The sequence below is a fragment of the Homo sapiens genome, chromosome 2 (genome assembly GCF_000001405.40).
Source record: "Homo sapiens chromosome 2, GRCh38.p14 Primary Assembly".
Lineage (NCBI taxonomy): Eukaryota > Metazoa > Chordata > Mammalia > Primates > Hominidae > Homo > Homo sapiens.
Window position 1 is genome coordinate 67,389,927 of NC_000002.12, and position 22,768 is coordinate 67,412,694.

The window sequence follows — 22,768 nt, forward strand, 5'->3', positions numbered from 1 at the left end:
TGAGTAGATATAGGCCAGATGGGGGTTGGTATCTGAAATGATCAGTGGGGTTGGATTCAATTAGTGCTACTAAGTGCTGCTTGCAGAAAGCAGTGTGCAATAGTATGCCCCACATCAGAACTGGGTAACCTGCTTCCCTTCATCCTTCTACTGACATTCACAGACTGAACTCCCAAGGGTGACTTACTTAGAAAGGGACCCTTTCTATAGTAGAGCTGCTTTTCCCAGCAACCTCCAATTTCTCAGCCCTTGTAAACTGCCCCAAGCATTTATAGGCTTCATTTTTAAGCCTATAACCTAAAGTATAGGTCTCTCTAGGTCCAGGTCTGAGCTCAACCACTGAATTGAGAGGTTTAAAATTGATGAAAGCCTGGAAAACATAGGTAAGATGAGGAACTGTCAAAGAAACTGAAGTTACTTAAACTAGAGAAAGGAGAATGAGCAGTAACAGAATCAGTGGTGTGCTGTAGCCAGTTCATACTAGCTTGTAAGAGCTGATTATTAAATCCCGAGTAATTTTGCAAGCTTCTTGTCGAACACAGCCATGAATCAAAAGTAAATATGTCAACTTACCTATTACAAACAAAAGTAATACAAAGGGGCACGAGGAAACTTCTGGGGGTGATGAATAGGTTCATTATCTTGATCGTAGTGAAGATTCCAGGGAGTATATTTGGTACTGTAGAACGATTGCCAAAAAACATTGCAACTTTATTTATCCCATTATGAGCTTTTAGTACAATTTCTCTTAAGTTTATCCTTAGTAATTAAATCCTTATGTCTCACCTAGTGTCTATTCTTAAATCTATCATTTGCATGCTTCATATATAATATTTTATGCATATTTTTCTGGTTTTAAAAGCAATACATCTTCATTGTAGATAATTTGGAAGAAAAAAAAACAAAACAAGCATTAGTTAAATCCCACTACCTAGAGATAATGTATAGTCAATATTTGGAATATTTCATTTGAAATGTTTGGGAGTATATGCACATACTCATGTGCATATGAATAGTAGATACGACATGCATAACTTGCTTTTCTTCCATACCACGGTATAAGTATTTTATTTTGTTATACAAATTTTTTACTTTTTTATATTAGCCGTTAATATATTAAAAATTAAAATGTTACATTTTTAAAGCTAGCCAGTTTTTTAGCCCCATATATGCATAAAAATACATTTTTTATTTGGCCTTTAGGAAGACTTAAAAGACAGCGACATAAACTAGAGATTCTCAGACATTAAAATGCGTCAAAATCACCTGGAGGGCTTATAAAAGCTCAGATTTCTAAACCCACACTGTTTCTTACCCAGTATGGGGCCCAAGAATATGGATTTCTAACAAGTTCCCAGGTGATACTAATGCTACTAGTTTGAGAATTATTGGTTTAAACAAGTAAGGGATTGATGAATATCAAAGGGTAAAGGATTGATGGCATAGAGCTAGGCCACCCAGGCCAGGTACTGTGGTTGCATGATACCTTGGGAACCTCAGCTCCTTGAATTCTTCTGTTCTACTACCCTTAGAGAGTGTGGCTTTAGGCCTCATAGTCCCATCATGACCTCTGCAGTTCCTTGTTTCAATCAGGAAGAAAGATTTTTTCCAGAAGCTCCACCTCGGGACTTCTGCTTATGGGTTTTAGCTTAAAACTTTGTAAAGTGGACCCCTTTACCTGTAAGAAAGGCTTACAACTATAGTTGATTCATGGTCAGTTGGCTGGTTTTAAAGCTAGCTATATTCCACCCTGAGCAAAATTAGATATGACAGACATCCTTATCTGCTTCATAATTTTAATGAGGGATTTTATATTTCATAGGTCAATTTTTTTTCTAGGAAGTAGGATACAAATAACTTTTAAAAAAGGAACAATCTGAGCTGGAAGGGGATTTATAGAAAGTGTTAGAAATTTGGAATCTCTATTTTGGAGAAGAGAAGCATGAGCTGCTCAGTGACATTGTCATGTGCCATTGAAAGCTCAGCTGATGACTATAGGTTCATGCTAGTGCAGTAAAGAATCTTTACAATATAACAGCCCAGGAGCTGAGAAAACAAATAGCATGATTGATTCAAAGCTGGAGCCTAGTAAGAAAAGTATATTGGTAGGTTCAGAGGGTAAGAAAATCGTAGAAACTGATAGAGCAAAGGTTGAAATGTCATCCCCAGGAGTATGGGGCTACAGAGAAATAAAAATACATTCCTTATTTCTCTAACTGTTAGGTCTTTATGCAATAATTGAACCAAAAAAACTTAAGAAAAAGTGATTTCAGATGACAGCTAGTCTCCAGTATAATTTGTCTCAGGTCCAAAGGAGTCACTAAAATATTTTAACTTCCAGCTCCATATTTAAATGGGATTTTGTTTCATTCTATTTTGAACTTTTAAAAATAATATTCTTTTAATTGAGAAACAATAAGACTACAACCCTTGACCCAATTCTGGTGTTTGTTCTATGTTTTAGTTCAGGTTTCTTTTTAGATGTAAGAAATAGAGACCAACTGGCATTAGCTAGCCCCTACCTAACAAAGGAAGTTTACTGTAAAGGCTCACATTGAAAGAAAAAAGGACTGGTATCACAGTAAAATCTGGTCTTACGGACATTGAAGCTGAATGGTGGTTGGGTTTCAAGGTATCCAGAGTCAACAGATGTTGATTCCAGTGGTCCCCAGTCTGCATAATTCTGCTACTTCCTTCAGTTCCACTTTGAGCAAGCTTCTTCGTAGTTTCTGCCCACCATGGTTTTGCACAGGGCCCTCTAGCAAATTCTTAGTTCAAATCTCCAAGAAAGAATAGGATTGTCTCAATGCATCTTTTTGTGTCAGTCAGAGGTGGAGAAGCTGGCTATGGACTGGTTCCTAAAATCAGGTGCCCATGTCTAGTCCAGTCATTTTTACCCGATTGGGCCCGTCTGGCCAGACATGGTCACCTAGGCAGCAGAGGCTCCTGATGGAGCAGCTAGGCATAATAGGTGGTTCTAGCTAATACAATTGCAGCTATGTCAGGAATAAGGAAAAATGGGCCCAGCACTTACCCAGGTACATTTTGGGGTGGAAACATTGTAACAAAACTGTTAAAAACAAACAAAAAAACAAAAACCCTCTAATCATTGTGTTGCTTGTTCAGATTCTGCCAAATGCACTCTCACAGATTTGGAGCTGGAGCTCTGTATATAAAACACAAACATAATTCACATAATTATGGATTTTTTTTTCTTGAAAGGAAGACTGCTCACAGTTAGCCATTGATCAGTAGCATTGACCCATCGTTGTAATGTAAGTGAGGAGGCAATCACTGGCAGAGAAGCTCCTTAGTAACTCAGACCTTCAGTGTCACAATTTTTGCCTTAATAATTATTGTCAAGTTTATAAATAATCCCTGTAAGTGAAACAAGCAAGAGTTTCACTTTGGTTTATTACAGTTTTTAGTTGCAGTAAACCTTACTTATATGTATAAATTATTCAAATGCCTAGAAATGCTGAGCTATGAATCATATTGCATTCAAACATCTGTAAGACTTTTGTTTCACATTAAAAACATTTTATTAAGGAGTTAATTGTGTTATACTTATTTCAGGAGCTATAGTCAGGAAGTAAATTTAATTTGAAGTACACTTAGAAATGTAACAGATTATGTAAAGTAAGTAATTTTCAAGTTAAAATTTACTATAATTTCCTACCCCATAATGATTACAGGTTACAGCCATCCTAGGTGTGTTAAGACAACACGTCTGTACTTTAGGCTCAAGTTGTTCATTTCAGCAATGGTTACTTGGGCACTATAGAATTTGGAGTTATGGTAAAGTATTCACTGTTATTTTATTTGCAGCATTAATATGCTTTAAAGGATTACTACATGGTTATTTCTCTTATAAACATCACTAAATTCTTTAAACTTCCTTAATTACTTTCTAAATGTGAGTTGGATATTTATTTGGTAAATTAAGTTCTTTTTACATTTTTTTTAATGCTTCTAGGATTTTTGGTCATTTGAGAGGTAGGAGAGATCTCTGAGAGAAATAGTAATATTCCTGCTAATTTATACAAGTGAAGGTTCAAGTAATTAATTTGAATTTTAAAAGATGTAATATCACTTGTATTCCAGTCTTATCCGGTTATAAATAAATAAAACTAAACAATGGTTTAAATACATGTAGGTAAAAAACAATCATGGAAAGAAAAAGTATTAGTAGAAGGTCAAACACTGAGGAAAAATAATGGAATTATCTATTCACAACGGTTTATATGGTTTATATAACTGCTAGCCCTGAATCTCAAATTTAGTTCTAGGATTTCTGTCAGCAAAATTAAAGAGTAAAAACAGAATAGTTTACAAGATAGAAGAAATATATCAGCTCCTCAGTAGGAACTAAGATCTTTGCCTTACATTAACATTTTAAACATTTTAATTGATAAATATAACATGTGTGTAGAAAATGAACAAAATGTACAGCTCAGTAGATTACCACAAAGCAAATACTTTTGTAATTAACAACTAGAACATGAAAATAAACAAAGCCAATAAATACATGAAATTCTCTCCTCCCTCTGTCCACTTCTAATCACTGTCCCTTCCCCCTCCCGAAGGTAACTATTATCCTGACCTTTATGGTAATCATTCCTAGATTTTTCTTTATCATTTTAACACTAAAGCTTACATCCCTATACAATATAGTAGAACTTTGCCTGATGGAATTTATATGGGATTTATTTAACATTATGGAGGAGGGTTGGGAGGTCTAGCTTTTTTTTGCTCAACTTTATGTTTGTCAGATTTATCCATGTTGTCGCACAGAGTTGTAGTTTTCATTTTCATTGCTATTTTGTTGTGTGAATATAGTTCAATATATTTATCATTCTACTGTTGGAAAGCATTTGGTCCACTTACAGTATGAAGTAATTTTGAATTGAATTTTACTGCTAAAAGCATTTTTCTTCTTCTTTGTTTTTTCTTTTTTTTTTCTGTTGCCCAGGCTGGAATGCAGTGGCACAATCATGACTCACAGCAAGTCAACTTCTGGGCTCAAGTGATTCTCCTTCCTAGTAGCTGGGACTACAGCCATGCGCCAAAATGCCCAGCTAATTTTTTGTATTTTTTGTAGAGATGGGTTTTCGCCATGTTGCCCAGGCTGGTCTCAAACTCCTGGGCTCAAGCAGTCCACCTGCCTCGGCTTCTCAAAGTGCTAGGATTACAGGCATAAGCCACTGCATCCCACCAAAGCATTTTTATAAACTGTATCTTGATGAACAAGTCCATGCATTTAAACAGAGAATATTCCTCAGAGTGGGATTGCTAGATCAAAAACTGGTTTCCAAAGTGGTTGTGCCAAATTATACTCTCACCAGCAGTACGTGACAGCTTCCATTGGTTTACTGCCTCAATACCTATATTGTCAGTCTTTTTAACTTTAGCCATTCTGATATGGTTTTCATTTGCATTTTCCTGATTAAAAATGAATCTGATTTTTCCATAAGTTTGTTGATAATATTTTCTCTTGTGAAGATCCTGCTCAAGGGTCTCATCCACTTTTGGTTTTGACAGTCAATCATTTCCTTAGTGATTTGTATCAGTTCTTCATATAACCTATATATAGGCCCTTAAATATGTCTTATAAATATTTTCTCCCAATTTGTGCCTTGCCCTTCCTTCTCTTTAATGTTGTTTTTGAATGGACAGAAGTTCTCAAATTATCAATTTTGTGTAGTCACATTTATAATTATGCCTGGTGACCTTTGTTTTATTTCAAATGCGTTCTGTCATGAAGACAATTTATACCTTCTAAAATGTTATTTTATCTTCTACAATTAAATTTATAATGAATATATATGCACCTGATTTGGGGATAAAGTTTGAGGTAAAGGTCATGTTTCTTTCTTTTTCTACATGAACATCAAATAGACCAAGCACTATTTAATTTCAAAAGTCCTTTTACCATTGCTCAGAAGGGTCACCTTTGTCTTAAATCGTGTTCATTTATATGGAAGTCTGTTTCTGTGCTATCCTGTTTCTTTCATCTTTGTCTATCCTGACACCATCATAACACTGTCTTAATTACCATATAAGTCTTGATACCTGGTAGATATCAACCCTCATTATTCTTCGAGAGATCTTCAAGAGTTTATTGATATTTTTGGTCCCTTGCATTTTCATATAAATTTTAGAAAAAACTTACCATGTTACACACACACAGTCACACACTGGGCCTTCATATGTATTTATGTTGAATCTATAGGTCAGTTTGGAAATAGCTGACATTGTAACAATATTGAGTCTCACAACCCATGAACATAGTGTAACCATTTATTTAGGTCTTCGTTTTCTTTCAAAAAAAAAATTTTTTTTTTTTTTGAGACGGAGTCTTGCTCTGTTGCCCAGGCTGGAGTGCAGTGGCGCAATCTCGGCTCACTGCAACCTCCACCTCCCAGGTTCAAGCAATTCTCTGCCTCAGCTCCCAAGTAGCTGGGATTACAGGCACCCGCCACCACGCCTGGCTAATTTTTGTATGTATGTATGTATGTATGTATTTACTTATTTTACACGAAGTCCCCCTCTGTCGCCCAGGCTGGAATGCAGATGCGCGATCTCTGCTCACTGCAAGTGCAGTGGCGCAATCTCGGCTCATTGCAACCTCCGCCTCCCAGGTTCAAGCAATTCTCCTGCCTTGGCCTCCCCAGTAGCCGGGACTACAGGCACGCACCACCATGCCCGGCTAATTTTTTGTATTTTTAGTAGAGACGGGGTTTCACCATGCTGGTCAGGCTGGTCTTGAACTCCTGACCTCGTGATCCGCCTGCCTCGGCCTCCCAAAGTGCTGAGATTACAGGCTTGAGCCATGGCGCCCGGCCTCAAAAATGTTTTATAGTTCTCTTTGTAGGAAGGACAATCTTTAACTTATTCCTAGTTACTTGCTATCTCATGCACTATTATAAATAGTATCTCTTTAAAACTTCAATTTTATATCTGTTGCTAATCTATTGAAACACATTGATCTTTGAATATTGACTTTGTATCCAGCAACTCTTAAATTAATTTAGTAATTTTTTCTACTTTCTTTTGGATTTTTCTATGCACATAGCATCTATGAAAAATTAACTGTATTTCCTCTTCTTGAGAAATTCGAAGACTCTCAATAATCTGAATTTGACTAACGTGCAATTTTCGTTGTAAATTCAATAAAAAGTTGCTAGTGTATTCAATCTTTCCAACTCACAAGCTCCCACTCTCAGTTTACGCGGACCTGACTACTACCCGAACAACCCCCACCAGTCTGGAGGATTTTGAGCCTAGACACTCCTCCAGAGCAGGCTCCTGTCCCGGCTGCGGAAGTGCGCGCGCCCTCGGCACCTTAACAGTTCCGCCCCTCTCCCGGACCCAGCCAATCAGCGGCCGCCTCTTGCGCGCGCCCCACCGACCAAAATGGCGGCTGCCGTTGGTGCGGGGTGCGGTTTGTAGTGCTGTTGCCCTACTCATCCCTTTGCAAAATGTGAAAGAAGAAGCGGCTGGTGGAGGCGGGCCATAGGCAATGAGTCGGCGAAGGAAACATGATGACAGCCCTAGCCCGAAGAAAACGCCGCACAAAACAGTGGCGGCGGAGGAATGCGGCTCGGTGGTCGAGCCAGGGAGGAGGCGGCTGAGATCGGCCCGCGGTTCGTGGCCCTGCGGGGCTAGAGAGGGGCCTCCCGGGCCAGTGCGGCAGCGAGAGCAGCCTCCGACCGCCGCCCTGTGCAGTAAAAGTAACCCCGAGGGTGAGACGTCGGCAGCGCGGCCTGCCTTGGCTTCGGCGCCGCATCCCCACATCCCAGCTTGCAACAGGGAAATCTGGGGTGGGGGTGGAGTCTGGAGCGTGTATTCTGTCTCTGGGATTCACCCCTCGAGAGTCCAAAAATAATCCTATACCACTCCCCGATGGGCTTTTGTCCCCGAACTTCAGCACTACCCCGTTAGGTTTGACCATCCATTTGCCTCCGCCACAGGAATAGGTAATGTGGTTTACCTGTTTGCGGGAGGGCGGCTGCTTTCCAGGCTGCTCCTCCAGTCAGCAGCAGTGGTGGAGTGAGAAGAAACAGCTGATAGGCCCGCTAACCTCAGTTTTTGCCCGGAGAAGTTATTTCTCTTTAAACCCTTTTTTTCCCTGTGACCTGCTTTAGAGAAGAGTTCATAGGAAAAGTTAAAGTTTGTCTCAAAGCCTGGTAGATGTCTCACCTCATTGTGAATAAACCGGAAGTTCCTGTGTGTAACATCCCTCCAAATAAGATACTAAGGATCTCTTTCGTCTCGATTAGTTTTAGGTGTTACTTTTTAAAAGACTTCTAGTAAATCTTAGTTGGAACTGAAACTCATACAAAAGCCTTTATTCTGGAGCATGTTCTTGAAATAGTGCTTTTTTTTTTTTTTTTTTTTTTATACCTTACGTGTCTTTTTTCTTTTGGGAAAGAATCTCGCCCTGTCGCCCAGGCTGCAGTGCAGTAGCACAATCTCGGCTCACTGCAACCTCCGCCTCCCGGGTTCAAGCGATTCTCCTGCCTCAGCCTCCCAAGTAGCTGGGACTACAGGCGTGTGCCACCTCGCCCGGCTAATTTTTTGTATTTTTGGTAGAGACAGGGGTTTCACCGTGTTAGCCAGGATGGTCTCGATTTCCTGACCTCGTGATCCACCCGCCTCGGCCTCCCAAAGTGCTGGGATTACAGCCACCGCGCCCGGCCACCTTACATGTCTTTAATAATACTCCTATAAAGCAATTTGGGAATGAACAAAAATCTTTATAAAAATTTGAAAGTGATTCTAGACAAAAATTCCCAAGCATTGGATCACTAATGGTTTTTGAAGAATGGCAATTAATGTAGATTAGATAGAGTTGGTGAAAGGGGGCTAAACATATTTAGGTTTCTGTTGGGTTACTTTGGATTTTTGAATGTACCTATAAATTACAGATGGTTCCCCAAAGCCTCCAAGACTCAATGGTAATAAATAGAATGACTTAGGTTATACAGTATTGTATTATGCATTCATAAAGCTTCTGGATTATCTAGAAGTGTTTGCTATTTACAATGTGAAGTTTGCGAAGTGCCGCGTGGATTTTTATGTGAAACAAGCATTTCTGTTACGGTTCAGGTAATTATCTCTGGGAAAAAAAATTATCTTGGACTATAAAAGTTAGTCTCAGCTATTTGACCTTGGGGTCTTACGAAGTAAGGTAATGCTTTAAAATGCAACAATTGTTATTTTACTCATATTTTATATAGAAAGGTATGAAACACCAAAGAGAGCGCTGAAAATGGACTCACTGTCATCTTCCTTCAGTTCTCCTAATGATCCAGATGGACAGAATGATATCTTTTGGGATCAGAATTCTCCATTGACAAAGCAGTTAGGTAATTAATTATTAACATTTTTTATGTGAGTAAATATTTGATAAATGATTCAGATTTAACTAGAATTCTAGTCAGATAATAGCATCGGGAACCTCTGAGAATGTTATATGATTTTATCTGTATAAGTATGTGATGTAAACACATAATCCTCTAAGCTGCACTAAATAAAATTACTTTCTAAGAAGTGACAGCTGTTTTTTAAAATGGAGGGTTTTTTGTTTAAAATTTATAGAAATGTCTTTGTTTCTTTAGGTAAAGGAAGAAAAAAACAGATTTACACCACAGATAGTGATGAGATTTCACATATTGTTAATCGTATTGCTCCTCAGGTAAATATCACTAGTTTTACAGTTTGTTTTAAAACAGTGAAGAATGTGCCACTAAGTTTTTGTAGTTTCTTTAAATGAAAAGTATTGTCTATTATAATTCTTTTTTCCAAAAATAAGGCAGCAAAGATTACTGTTTTGCCTTTTCTACTTTTGAAATACATATTTTGAAAAAAGGAATATAATATAAAATACAAGATATTTTCTTAAGTATATATCTTGTTTTAATTTTTTAGAGTAATTTTTGACTAGGGCATTGTGTTTATCTGTAATGTTGTGCTTAACAACATACGACATCATTTTTCAAGTTGCTAAAATAATAGAATAAGGCAGTGAAAAAAGTTTATACTTCTATGATTGTTTTGTGATTGGTACTTCCTGTCTGTAACATTTCCCCATTGAAACTATTAATACTCATTTCCTTATAAGATTATCAAGAAACACTTACAAAAGTGGAGAGCACTGAATTCAAATTTAGTCCTCATTCAACCTCCTATGCTGTGTGACCCAGTGCAAGTTATTTAAACTCCCACCACTTCAGTTCATTCAGCCATGAACTAGAATTATTGTGTTGCTCTTGCTGTCTTCATTGGATCATTATGAGAATTAAACTAGATAAAAATTCTTTGTAAACTATAGAGTGCTATAATTGTAAGGTTACGTTAAGGTTGTTACTGTAATAGAACCATCTCCAAAGCTTTTTTTTCTTTTCTTGGACAGGCATGGTGACTCATTCCTGTAATCTCAGCATTTTGGGAGGAAGGCTGAGGCAGGAAGATTGCTTGAGGCCAGGAGTTTAAGACCCTGTCTCTTAAAAAAAATTTTTTTTTGAGTGTTTCGTTTCTTTTTTTCATTTCTGTTCTTTTATTGTTTGAGTGAAATAGAAATATGTTCAAGTCAATCATTTGACACAAAGCAATCCAGTAACTCTAATATTATAATTACTAAGAAGCAAAGGCTCAATACGTGAAACTGTTCTGAACTTCTTTACTTTTTGTTCTCTTTTTCTTATTTAACATTTAAATCCAGAGAACATTTTTGCTTAGTGTCTTCTCTGAAGGAAGTATGCCATTTTTCCTTAACCTGCGCTTGAATAGTTACTATATGTTGACCATAAACAATAGATGGCACTGGCCCAAAACATGGTTTGAAGAATTACTGTCACCCAGGTGGAAGAGACAGAAAATGAAGTTTTTCTTAGCAGCTATAAAATATCCAAAATTACACCTAGCACAGTCAAAACAACTCTGTTGCTACTAGCTCTACATTCCATTTTTAGCATGTCATAGAAATTCATTTTACTTACAGTTAATTAGTTAAATAGCATTTATGCCATAATAGTACTTACTCTATAAGTTAACAATAGATCTTCATTAATTGTGGGTTTCACATGAAAGAAGCATAATAAAATGTGTTTGGGTGGGCCAGTCTAAATAGTGATAAAAAGATAGTTGTGAATAAATTATTGGACTCTTTACCTAAGTGGGCTAGAAATAATAGCTCATATAAAGAAATGACAACAGTACGCAAGTGGTAACTTGTATAAAAGAAAAAAATATAGTGAAATTAGTAGCTTTAAAATGTTACCCTCTTAAACTGAGTACTTTTAAAGCATATAAATCTTTAGCAGTTTCAAGGTCTGTTTGAAAGCTTGTCATGTTCTCAGAATGACAAATACTTATATTGTTTATTTTTAGGTGAGTCATTCTCAAATCATTTAGTTTTAACATTTTCAGAGATAGCATTTTTTTAAATATGCGCTTTTATTTTGGTTGGACAGTCAGTTCACTTTTTGCAGGGATACTTTTATACAATGTTGTTTATTTGAAGATGGTATGTATCTTCATTTATACAGCTTTGCACAGTATACTTTTTATAATGAAATGAAGTAATGCATTTAGATACCTTATACAGCACCTGGATTATGGTTGAAAATCAATAAATTATGTAATTATTCATGAAGAAATATGTAATAACATGTATAAATAGTATACAAACATACATAGGACCCATGTATATGTAAAGTTGGGTACATAAAGTCATAATTTAGTTCTCTGAAAATTGAATGAATTTAAAATTACTTTTGTAAATGGCAGAGTTCATAATTAAGACTATGATTGTCTTTAAATTCAAGATTGTTGAAATAAAAGGGAAAATATATTGAGTCTGAAAGTGAAATTACTGATTTTCTTGAGTATTTGCAAAGCTAAAGGCAACTAGGTTCAAGTTGACATTAAGAAAACTTTTTTGATTCATTGAGGATTTGAAGTACCAAACTGTAGGGATCTTTTCACCTAAATCTTCTAGTAAATAAATGTATACTGACACTGGTATGCCCAATATTGTGCTGGATGCTGAGTTATTCTAAGAAGAGTCCTTGCCTTTGAGTAGCCTATAATCTAGTAGTAAAATTATTTTTTAAATTGTGTGATATTTATGTTCATTCTAGGTACTATAAAATAGAGTGAAAATGGTTACTTGATTTGATTTGTTGGTTTGGTTTGCAATTAATGCCTAAAGCTCATTCTGTAATTTTTTTGTGTGATCAAGTGACTGAAAGGTACAGCAAAAGTATCCAGGTCTAAAATGCCTTTTTTCTGTATATTATCTGGGCTAAACTTTTCTGTTTTCTCTATTTTTTTATTCTTATTCCTGTCTCATTCTTAGCATCAGTTCTAACCTTGCTCTTATCTCTTAATTCATTCCTGATCTTAATTCTGAGTGTTCTTAATTTAGGTCAACATGGATTGTCCAACTTTAGATAAAGATTATAATAAGGATAAAGAAAATTTGGAGAAACAGATGATACAGAAAGAATTCCATATGTATCTCCTCTCAATTCTGATGATTTCTGCCACACAGTTTCTGACACTAATGTTTTTATAAGTATCTTAGGACAATTAAAATGTCAATTTTCTTTTGATAAAAACATGCTTCTGTTATTAAATGTACATTTGATAAATTTAATTCTTAAAACAATATTTTTTTAAAATAAGCAATTTGTAATTCTGAATGTTTTCATTCTCTGAAACATAAGTGGATCAATTATTGTAGCTTATTATTGCTATCTCCCAACTTCCTATTGTTTTTGAGTTTGGTAAGTGTTACCTCACCAGAATTTAGGAAATTAATTCAAAATCATTAGTTTTTATTGTCTTTTTTCTTTCTTTTGTTTTTTTGGAAGACGGGGGATGCTACACTGGTACTTTATACCTCTTTTTTTCCCTATCTGCCAAAGGATGAAAAACCAACAACAAATTCTATGCTGGACATGTGGATTGGTGAAACTGCTATTCCTTGTACTCCCAGTGTAGCAAAAGGAAAATCAAGAGCAAAAATCAGCTGCACAAAGTAAGTTAAGACTTTTCAGCTTTTCTGAAATTCAGTGAAGCAAATATTTTTTGATAATACTCCATTTTGGTTTTGTGAATATATCAAAATTTTTGTTAATAAAATTTCCACAGTTTTGATCTATCAAATTTTGGAGTTAAAATAATTATAACTGTTAAAATCTTAGAGCTTTAACATCAAAATATGTTAAATAACAGTTGGATATAATGTTTCAGAACATTTTTAGTTATTTTTTAATCTTGTTTAATAGGTTAAAAACACAAAGTCAAGAAGAAGAACTTATGAAACTGGCTAAACAATTTGATAAAAATATGGAAGAGCTAGATGTGATTCAAGAGCAAAACAAGAGGAATTATGATTTTACCCAGATGATTTCAGAAACAGAGATTTTAAGTAATTATAAAGATAATATACAGATGTGGTCATTACATAATATAGTTCCCGAAATAGATAATGCTACAAAAAAGCCAATCAAAGGAAACACCAAGATATCTGTGGCAAATAATCAAAATAGCAGTCAGAAGCCATTTGACCAAATTGCTGAAGCAGCCTTTAATGCTATTTTTGATGGTTCTACTCAGAAATGTAGCGGACAGTTAAGCCAAGAACTGCCAGAGGCTTTTTGGAGCACCAGTAATACTACCTTTGTAAAGACAAATGCTTTGAAAGAGGAGAAAATCATTACTAATGAAACTCTGGTCATTGAAAAACTGTCAAATAAAACCCCACGATCACTTTCTTCTCAAGTAGATACACCCATAATGACAAAATCATGTGTGACTTCCTGTACTAAGGAGCCAGAAACTTCTAATAAGTACATTGATGCATTTACTACAAGTGATTTTGAGGATGATTGGGAAAACTTACTAGGTAGTGAACCTTTTGCTATGCAAAATATCGACATGCCTGAACTCTTTCCTTCTAAAACAGCCCATGTTACTGATCAAAAGGAAATTTGTACCTTTAATAGTAAAACTGTTAAAAATACGTCAAGAGCAAATACAAGTCCAGATGCCAGGTTAGGAGATTCAAAAGTATTACAAGATCTTTCTTCAAAGACATATGACAGAGAATTAATAGATGCAGAATATAGATTTTCACCAAATTCAAATAAATCAAACAAATTATCCACTGGAAATAAAATGAAATTTGAGAACTCTTCCAATAAAATTGTTATTCAAGACGAAATTCAAAATTGTATAGTTACATCTAATCTGACAAAAATAAAGGAAGATATTCTTACTAACTCTACTGAAGCTTCTGAAAGGAAGTCAGCTTTGAACACAAGGTATTCTAATGAACAGAAAAATAAGTGCATTTTAAATCAGTCTATTAAAGCCCCTGTTAATACTGATCTTTTTGGCTCTGCAAATCTAGGCAGTAAAACCAGTGTTAGTAACCCAAATCAGACTAGTGCATCAAAAGTAGGTTCTTTCTTTGATGATTGGAATGATCCCTCATTTGCCAATGAAATTATTAAAGCATGTCATCAATTAGATAATACCTGGGAAGCAGATGATGTAGATGATGATTTGTTGTACCAAGCATGTGATGATATTGAAAGACTAACTCAGCAACAAGACATTAGAAAGGACAGTAAGACATCAGAAAGTATATGTGAGATCAATAATAATTCCGAACATGGAGCCAAACTAACTCAGCAACAAGACATTAGAAAGGACAGTAAGACATCAGAAAGTATATGTGAGATCAATAATAATTCCGAACATGGAGCCAAAAACATGTTTGCTATATCTAAACAAGGAAGTAATTTGGTACAATCAAAGCATTTGAATCCAGGCAGCATTTCAGTGCAGACATCTTTGACAAATAGCTCACAAATAGATAAGCCAATGAAGATGGAGAAAGGGGAAATGTATGGAAATTCTCCAAGATTTTTAGGTGCCACAAATTTGACTATGTATTCTAAGATCTCAAACTGTCAGATAAATAATCTGCATGTGTCTTATACTAACACTGATGTTCCAATACAAGTGAATAGTTCCAAATTGGTTCTTCCAGGAAGTTCAAGTTTGAATGTAACTTCAGATCATATGAATACAGAAATTACTACTTATAAGAAGAAATTGAGTACTAATCAGCCATGCCATAAGACTGTAACAGATGAAGCTCAGAGCAACCTTAACACAACAGTTGGATTTTCAAAGTTTACATTTACAAGGATGAAAAATTCTCAGATTCTTTCTCAGTTTAATCAAAATTGTATAACTGGAAGTATGTCTGATACCAAAATTACACAGGGTGTGGAGAAAAAGAAAGGTGTCAACCCATTACTGGAGGAAGCTGTTGGACAGCAATCTTTGGTGAAACTTTCTGAATCTTTGAAACAATCTTCAAAAGGTATGTATGAAATATGAAATAGTTTTCTTTGAAAAGCATCTTAAAAAGTAGTAAAATAATTATTTGTTGTTTTTGAGTGTGAGTAATGTATAAGGTAAAACTATTCTATGACTAGTTAATTTTAAGAATTAACTAGAATTCTTAAAATGATACTTGGAAATAATTATACGGCATTATACAGAGTAGTTGGTTTATTTTTCAAAATATTACATTGAATTCTTTCCCAGCACTTAATACAATGACTGGCATATAGTAGGTACTCAGTAAATATTTTTTGAATAACTTATTCTTTCTTGGAAAATCATACCTTTAGATATATGTATTATAGTGTTCATTAAGATTGTATTTACTAAATTGTTTTAAAACTTGAGTAATCTGGGAAGCAGATGATGAAGCAGTGAGGTAAATAATATTTAGAAATTTAGAGCATTCTAATTAAACGTCTTTACTAGTGTGATATTTGATATAAACGTGCTAGCGGTGATGGTTAAAATTATGATTTACTTATTTGATAACAGCTATCATTTCTGATTCTTCCAATTTCTCTTTTCCCCAAGTCTCCATTCTATCAATAAGTTTCATTCTTTCAAAAACCGTATCCCCAGACTCCATTTTTCTTTCTACAACAAGTTAACATTTCTTGATGAGACTACTGCAGTTCTTTTATCTATCTCCTTTCAATTCTTATCTCCAAACAGTGGAATAGCCTTTTAAAATTGGATGGGCAAAAATGGCGTTTCTATGCTTAAAACAACCTTCAATGGCTGCCCGTCATATTTCAAATAAAATCCAAACTGTATACTGTGACCAACAAAGCTGTGGATTATCTCTCTTTAACCTGCGTCTCCTCTTTTTTCCTTACCTACTAAGCTTCAGCTATACCAGCTATCTTTTAGTTTTTCAAACAGTGTATGTTTTTCTTCCTTGTCCAGGAACTTAGACCGTGCTCTTCCCTTTGACTAAAACTACTTCTTTTCAACATGTGACCCCTTCCCCACTCTTTTGTTGGTGCTTTCTTACATCTCAGTATAAGTACTACTTTCTCACAGAGGCCTTCCTTGAAGAGTCTATAAATAGATCTCCTTGTTTATTTTTTATTTCCTAATTGCTTTCATCACAAGTTGAAATTAAATATTTAGTGACTCTTCTCTGTCTTGTTGGCATTACTGTTCCAACTTTCCTATCTAAGTGACTTTTTTTAAAAATTTACAATAGTAATATGCTAGTTATTTAAAAAGAAAAGTAAAACAGTATAGAATAATTTAAAGGAAAAAGTTAAGTCTTCTGTTTCTCCTTTCTGATAACCATCCCTTACGGAAAACCACTATTAATAGTTGGTATGATGTAGCATTTTCTATGAATATAAAAAGATATGTGTGTGTGTATGTACGTATATATGTGTATGCATATATATATACCTATAGATCTATTTAAATATTAATAAATCTGTATACCCACTATTTGGCAACTTGCTTTTGCCTTAATATATTATAGCTGTCTTTTCCTATTAGTACATATAAATTTATTTTAGTCCTGTTAATGACTATGTGATATATATGGTGGATGTATCATAATTTAACTGTTTCTCTGTGATGGAAGTTTGGGTTGGTTGCAGTCTTTTGCAATTACAAACAATACTCCAGTAAATATCCTTCTGCATAAATTTCCGCATGCTTGTATAATTGTATCTGTTAATTCCTAAAAAATTGCTACAAGAGGAAGTTTTAAAATTTGATGGATACCACCAAATTTCTATCCGAAGCAGTTATACCAATTTATCTTATCAAAACTTACAGTAAATAATTCTCTACACCCAAGGGTGTCCAATCTTTTGGCTTCCCTGGGCCACATTGGAAGAATTATCTTGGATCACACATAAGATACACTGACACTAACAACAGCTGATGAACTAAAAAAAAAAAAAAAAAAAATCACAAAAGAATCTCATAATGTTGTAAAAAAGTTTATGAATTTGTGTTGGGCTGCATTCAAAGCCATCCTGGGCTGCGGGTAGCTTGCGGGCTGCGGGTTGGACAAGCTTGCTTTACATGATAGCCCAAACTAGATATTTTGAAATATTAAAAATTGTTCTCAATCTATAATAATTTTAAGTATTTAAATTTGTATTAAAGTGAGCATATTGTAACTAAATCAAGCATGTTCCTAGCATGACTTTATTTACAGATAGAGTTGACCCTTGAACAGTGTGGGGGTTAGAGGCGCTGATCTGATTTGCAGTCGAAAGTCTGTGTATAACTTTTGATCCCCTAAAAACTTAACTGCTAATAGCCTGCTGTTGACCAGAAACCTTTCCGATAACATAATTAATTAATACATATTTTGTATGCTCTTATATGTATTATATACTGTATTCTTACAATAAGCTGGAAAAGTGTTATTAAGAAAATAAGGAAGAGAAAATAATATTTACTATTCATTAAGTGAAAGTGGATCATCATAAAGGTCTTCATCCTCATGATCTTCATGTCTAGTAGGCCGAGAAGGAAGAAGAGTAGGAGTTGGTCTTGCTGTCTCAGGGGTGTCAGATGCAGAAAACAACCTACAAATGAGTGGACTTGCCAGTTCAAGCCCATGTTGTTCAAGGGTCAACTATAGTTATAATTCTATAAAAGACTAAACCTCCTGGAGTATTTGAGTTTTCCCAAAACTCCTATCTACCAATCTATCTGCATTTTTTATGGATAATCTGCGTTTTAGCTTACCTTATCAATATTTTCTTTAAACTTATTGATAGTACTGAATCTCTTAATTACTATTAACTTTGTTGATGTTTTCTATTGTTTCTACTTCCTTTTACTTTGGTATGTAGCAAGCTGCTCTCCAGGGAAGTATCTCTGAAACAAAACTCACTTAACTCCCACATTTATTTCAGGCAGGAGTTGGCAAACTATGATCTGTCCAAATCCAGCCTGCAGCTTGTTTATGTATAGCCAGCACACTAAAAATGATTTTTACATTTTAAATGGTTGGAAAAAAATTAAAAGGAGAATAATATTTCATGACATTTGAAAATTATATGAAATCCAGATTTCATTGTCCATAAACAGGTTTTATTTGAATACAGCTCATCAGTTATTTATACATTATCCATAACTATTTTTGCTACAGTGGTACAGGTGAGCAGTTGCAACAAGATACTCAAAGGTTAACATTCTTGCTTTCTGACTCTTTCTTTACAGGAAAAAAAAAAATTACTGACCCTTGCACTGTAAGATCAAGATTAAGAAGAGCAGCTTTTGCTTAGTACTTTACAATATTTTAAGACTTCATTGTGTATTTTTATTATAGATTGAGTTAAAGGAAAGACTGATGGGAAAAATGGATGAGTCCCTAAATCAAATTTTCATGGTGTGACCTGATTATCATTTGAAATTATTTTCTATAATATTGCCAAGCAAATTGTAAGACCAACTTTAGGAAGTTATGTTTTCTGCTGTTACAGATTATTAACCTGTTTTCTTTCCACACAGTCAAATTCAGTGTAAAGTCTTTGGATGTGTAGTCTGAGTTTGTTGTGTTTCTCAGCTTTGAGACTAAAAGTATTAGATAATTAGTCAAGCTAATTAGAAAGTATCTTCTGGTGTCTCTCTTTAGGAAAAAATATCTACAGTCTGTTAGGTAAATAGCTTAGGAAATAAAAGCCATCAAAATCATCTGGGAAACTTATTTAAAATATGTATTTCTTAGCCTGAATACCCCCTCCCATTTCTGATTATACCAAGAAAGGAAAGGGAGGCAGATTATATATTTTGAAAATGCCTCTGTTAGTTAACAAGAGAAATGTCTCATAAATTGTGTATCTTTTTCTAAATGTCAGAATAAATGATATACTTAAATATGTATTAGGGTGATAGTCTTAAACTTAAAATATCATTTAAATGAGAAAGTGATTTCTAATACAAAGCCTCAACTTACTAAGTTAATTGAGATTATTTTAAAGTTTCTCCAAAATGCATCCTCCAAATAAAAATATAATTTCTGACAGTGAATCACAGGTAACCAGTTTGACATGACAGATTTCATTTTATCACTCTAAAATATATTTCCTCAGTGGATGAAATGAAAATTTTATAGCTCTATAGGGAAAAGTAGATGTGAATATTAATATAACATCTTATGTAAATATACACTGTTTGAGATTGATAACTAATTTAATTCCTTATATTTTGACTATTTTCCAATTAAAGTTTACATAACATTTTAAATCCCAATGTATCCTTTTTAAAGATATATTTATTCGTGGGTCATATAAATTAGATGTCATTGTCCACAAGAATTATTTGGTGGGTAGTCAGTTTTCTATCAAACTGAATTTTATCACACTGTGAAAAGAATGTATCAAATAGAGACAGATCCATCAGTGCTTGATTTTCTTTTGAACTGGAGCATTATATCTGTATTATGTACTTAGAATTTTATATTCAGTAGTTTAGTTTGATTTAATAGCCAACTAATATGGCAAATCTGGGTGATTAAAAAAAGCAAAAATTAAAGCACATATTGAATGACTTTATAGGCTATAAAAGTAAAACTCATCTTTTGTTGAATTTTTAGAGGAAGAAGAGAAAAATAGAAAGTGTTCTCCTGAAGAAATTCAGAGAAAAAGACAAGAAGCACTGGTTCGGAGAATGGCTAAAGCACGAGCCTCATCTGTAAATGCAGCTCCCACTTCATTTCTTTAATGAAATATTAGTTGGAAGACTTCACGAAGACTGCTGATAACTATCTGTGATTGATAGGAAATTTTTTTTCTTGATTTCTCTGTGAGAAATGTAATGCTGACTTTTATAAAGCCTGGACTTCTACTTTATTTAATAAATCAATGTTTGCAATGGTAAATGAAACATTTCCTTGGACATGTATTTGAAAGTCATTAAATACAAAAGTTTTGGAAATTCAGGAAAGTTAGCAATTATGTACGGATATTATACAGAGGAAAGTAGTTATATTTTTAAATGCTATTATTGCAGAGGATCATCAAAAAAGAGGTAATCTACGTTATTTCCTATTCTAATGTCTTTTCCTAATAAAAAACTTCAACTTTCTAAGTTAGTAGAGACTGTTTTTGTAGTTTTACTTTCATTAACTGTTGCTTAAGGTTTTTATACACTTCCAGATTTTAATTAATACTTTCATATTTCTAGGAACATGGTTGATATGAAATAAAGGACTTTTTATTTGTAAGGAAATTATGTTCAGTTCTTAGAAGTGGATTTGAATTTTAATAATTCTAAAATGTGACACATTTTGGAAACTTTCCACCATATTTAGGAAAACTTTGATTTTAGAAGTCTAACATAGAGGAAAAGAAGTAGTGGATTGTCTACAAAAGTAATGTGGCATCATTAACATTTAGAACTGGCAGAAACTTCATATGTCATCTGGTCCAGCTTCCTTATTGTATCGGTGAGAAAAAGTAATACTGTTTTCAAAGTCATAGGCAAGTTAATGCTGTGCTACAATTAGAATGATTTATTTGGACACCTAAACAATTATACTATTTGTTTCAAAGTATCAGTACATAAAATAACTTGAGGGAGTATTATTTTCTAGTATAAAACAAAAGATGTAATTAAAAGCACAATAAGGACTGTTTGATAATAATGCTCATTGTTCCTTATTTTGCTTTAAAGAATTAGTCTTTCCAGGATATAAAAATGAGAATCTTTTTTCTTTTCAGTTTTTCTGTAACTGTAATTTTCCCCTCAATTAATTTACTTAGTTGACTCATCTTTTCTTCTCTATTACTGTTTTGTTTTTTTCTTTTTTTGCCATTTTGCCTATTTGGAATTTGCTAAACCAGTAATAGAAGTCCAACTAGAGGGCGTAAGGCAGGGAGGATGCTTTATTCCTCTTAAATGGTTTTAGGAGATCTAGAGAAAGTTAGAGATATGAAACACCTGTCATGGTGTGGCATTTATCACTATCAAGTGTCTCAAAGCTGTGATAATATGGTAGTTACTGCCCTATAGCTATACAGATACTCCTCAACTTACCGTGTAGTTACATCCCAATAAACCCATCATGAGTTGAAAATACCTTAAGTTAAAAATGCATTTACTACACTTAATCTACCAGACAACATAGCTTAGCTTAGCCTACCTTAAACATGCTCAAATCACTTATATTAGCCTAGAGTTGGGCACATCATCTGGCAATACGGCACACTGTAGAGTATCAGTTGAGCTGATGCCCAGCATCGTGAGAATGTTGTACCACATATCTCTAGCCTGGGAAAGAATCAAACTTTAAAGTATGGTTTCTATTGGACGCATATCACTTTTGCATCACGTTAGAGTTGAAAAATTGTAAGTCAACCATTTTAAGTTGGAGACTGTACATCAAAAATGGTATTTTCATATCTACAGTGGAGTACTGGAGTTTAGCTAACCTATATTATTTTTCCAGGAATATATAATAACCTAGATAAATGCAAGTAGTTTCTATGTACAAAAATAAAGAGCTGAGAATCTTTTACTAAAAGTGGCTTCACTGTGTTCTGACTATGCTTTGGATATCTCTGTCCTTGCTTAAGCTCCTCCCTGCTTACTGCTTGCTTTTTTAAGAGTACTTTTAGCCTATTCTGTTCATTCATTTAGACTCAGCCTAATAAGTCTGTTTGAACCTCGTACCTAACCATCTTCACTGGAATTGATTGCTTCTCTCTGATCATAATGGTACTAATTATTGTGTCTTTCATTGAGCAATACTATAATGCCTTTATGTGTTGTTTAGTTGTATAAATCTTATTTTATAATTTGTCATTTTGTGTCTCTGGTAATTCTGCCAAATTCTTATACAGCTCATAGTATTATTTACGTAATAGTTTTCTCTAAGTGACTCCCTTTTTTTAAAAAAAAAAAAAAAAAAAAAACTTTTATAGCACTTCTGGGTGGTGGCAGGTGTAATGGCCCTGTACATCTGAACCTCACATGACTGGTTTTTAGGGTCACTGCTCCTGTTCATACCACTCTCCTTTCCTATCCTGACTCTTCCTTTAGCCCTTGTTGGAAACATTAGGGGGTGAATGGCCCATAAATGAGCATGCAGAGGGCTGACTATATAGTTTGCCTGGCTTTTCTCTTTCCTAGTCTATAGGGAATCTGGGGAAGGGACAACTGGTAGCCTGGCAATTTCCCCCTAAAGTTCCGCTGCTGTTTCTGCATCTCAGACTGATGCTAATAATGCCATTATTTCCAAAAAGAGCCTGTTGAAAGCGGAGCTTATCTCTCATTCATCTTTTTCTGTTATAGACAGATGACTCGGACCCCAGGAACATTGGGGTTGCTTACTGCAGACAGTGGTATGCAGACATGTATCCTACCATGGGAAACACTG

At 34.6% G+C, this 22,768-nt stretch overlaps 1 protein-coding gene across 4 annotated transcripts; it reads left to right on the top strand.

Moving 5' to 3' along the window:
* The first annotated feature begins 7,406 nt into the window (after positions 1-7,406).
* On the top strand, positions 7,407-22,163 carry ETAA1 (ETAA1 activator of ATR kinase). Of its 4 annotated transcripts, none has more exons than XM_017004376.2 (7): positions 7,407-7,745; positions 9,243-9,371; positions 9,624-9,700; positions 12,936-13,048; positions 13,299-14,689; positions 14,777-15,409; positions 19,985-22,163. In XM_017004376.2, exons 1-7 carry the CDS (start codon positions 7,523-7,525, stop codon positions 20,110-20,112), a joined length of 2,694 nt encoding a protein of 897 aa, XP_016859865.1. In that variant the 5' UTR covers positions 7,407-7,522; the 3' UTR covers positions 20,113-22,163. The 4 variants fall into 4 exon arrangements, with proteins under 4 accessions (XP_016859865.1, XP_016859866.1, NP_061875.2 ...); XM_017004377.2 differs by having other exon boundaries at positions 13,299-14,670; positions 14,758-15,409; NM_019002.4 differs by having other exon boundaries at positions 13,299-15,409.
* Positions 22,164-22,768: the final 605 nt, after the last annotated feature.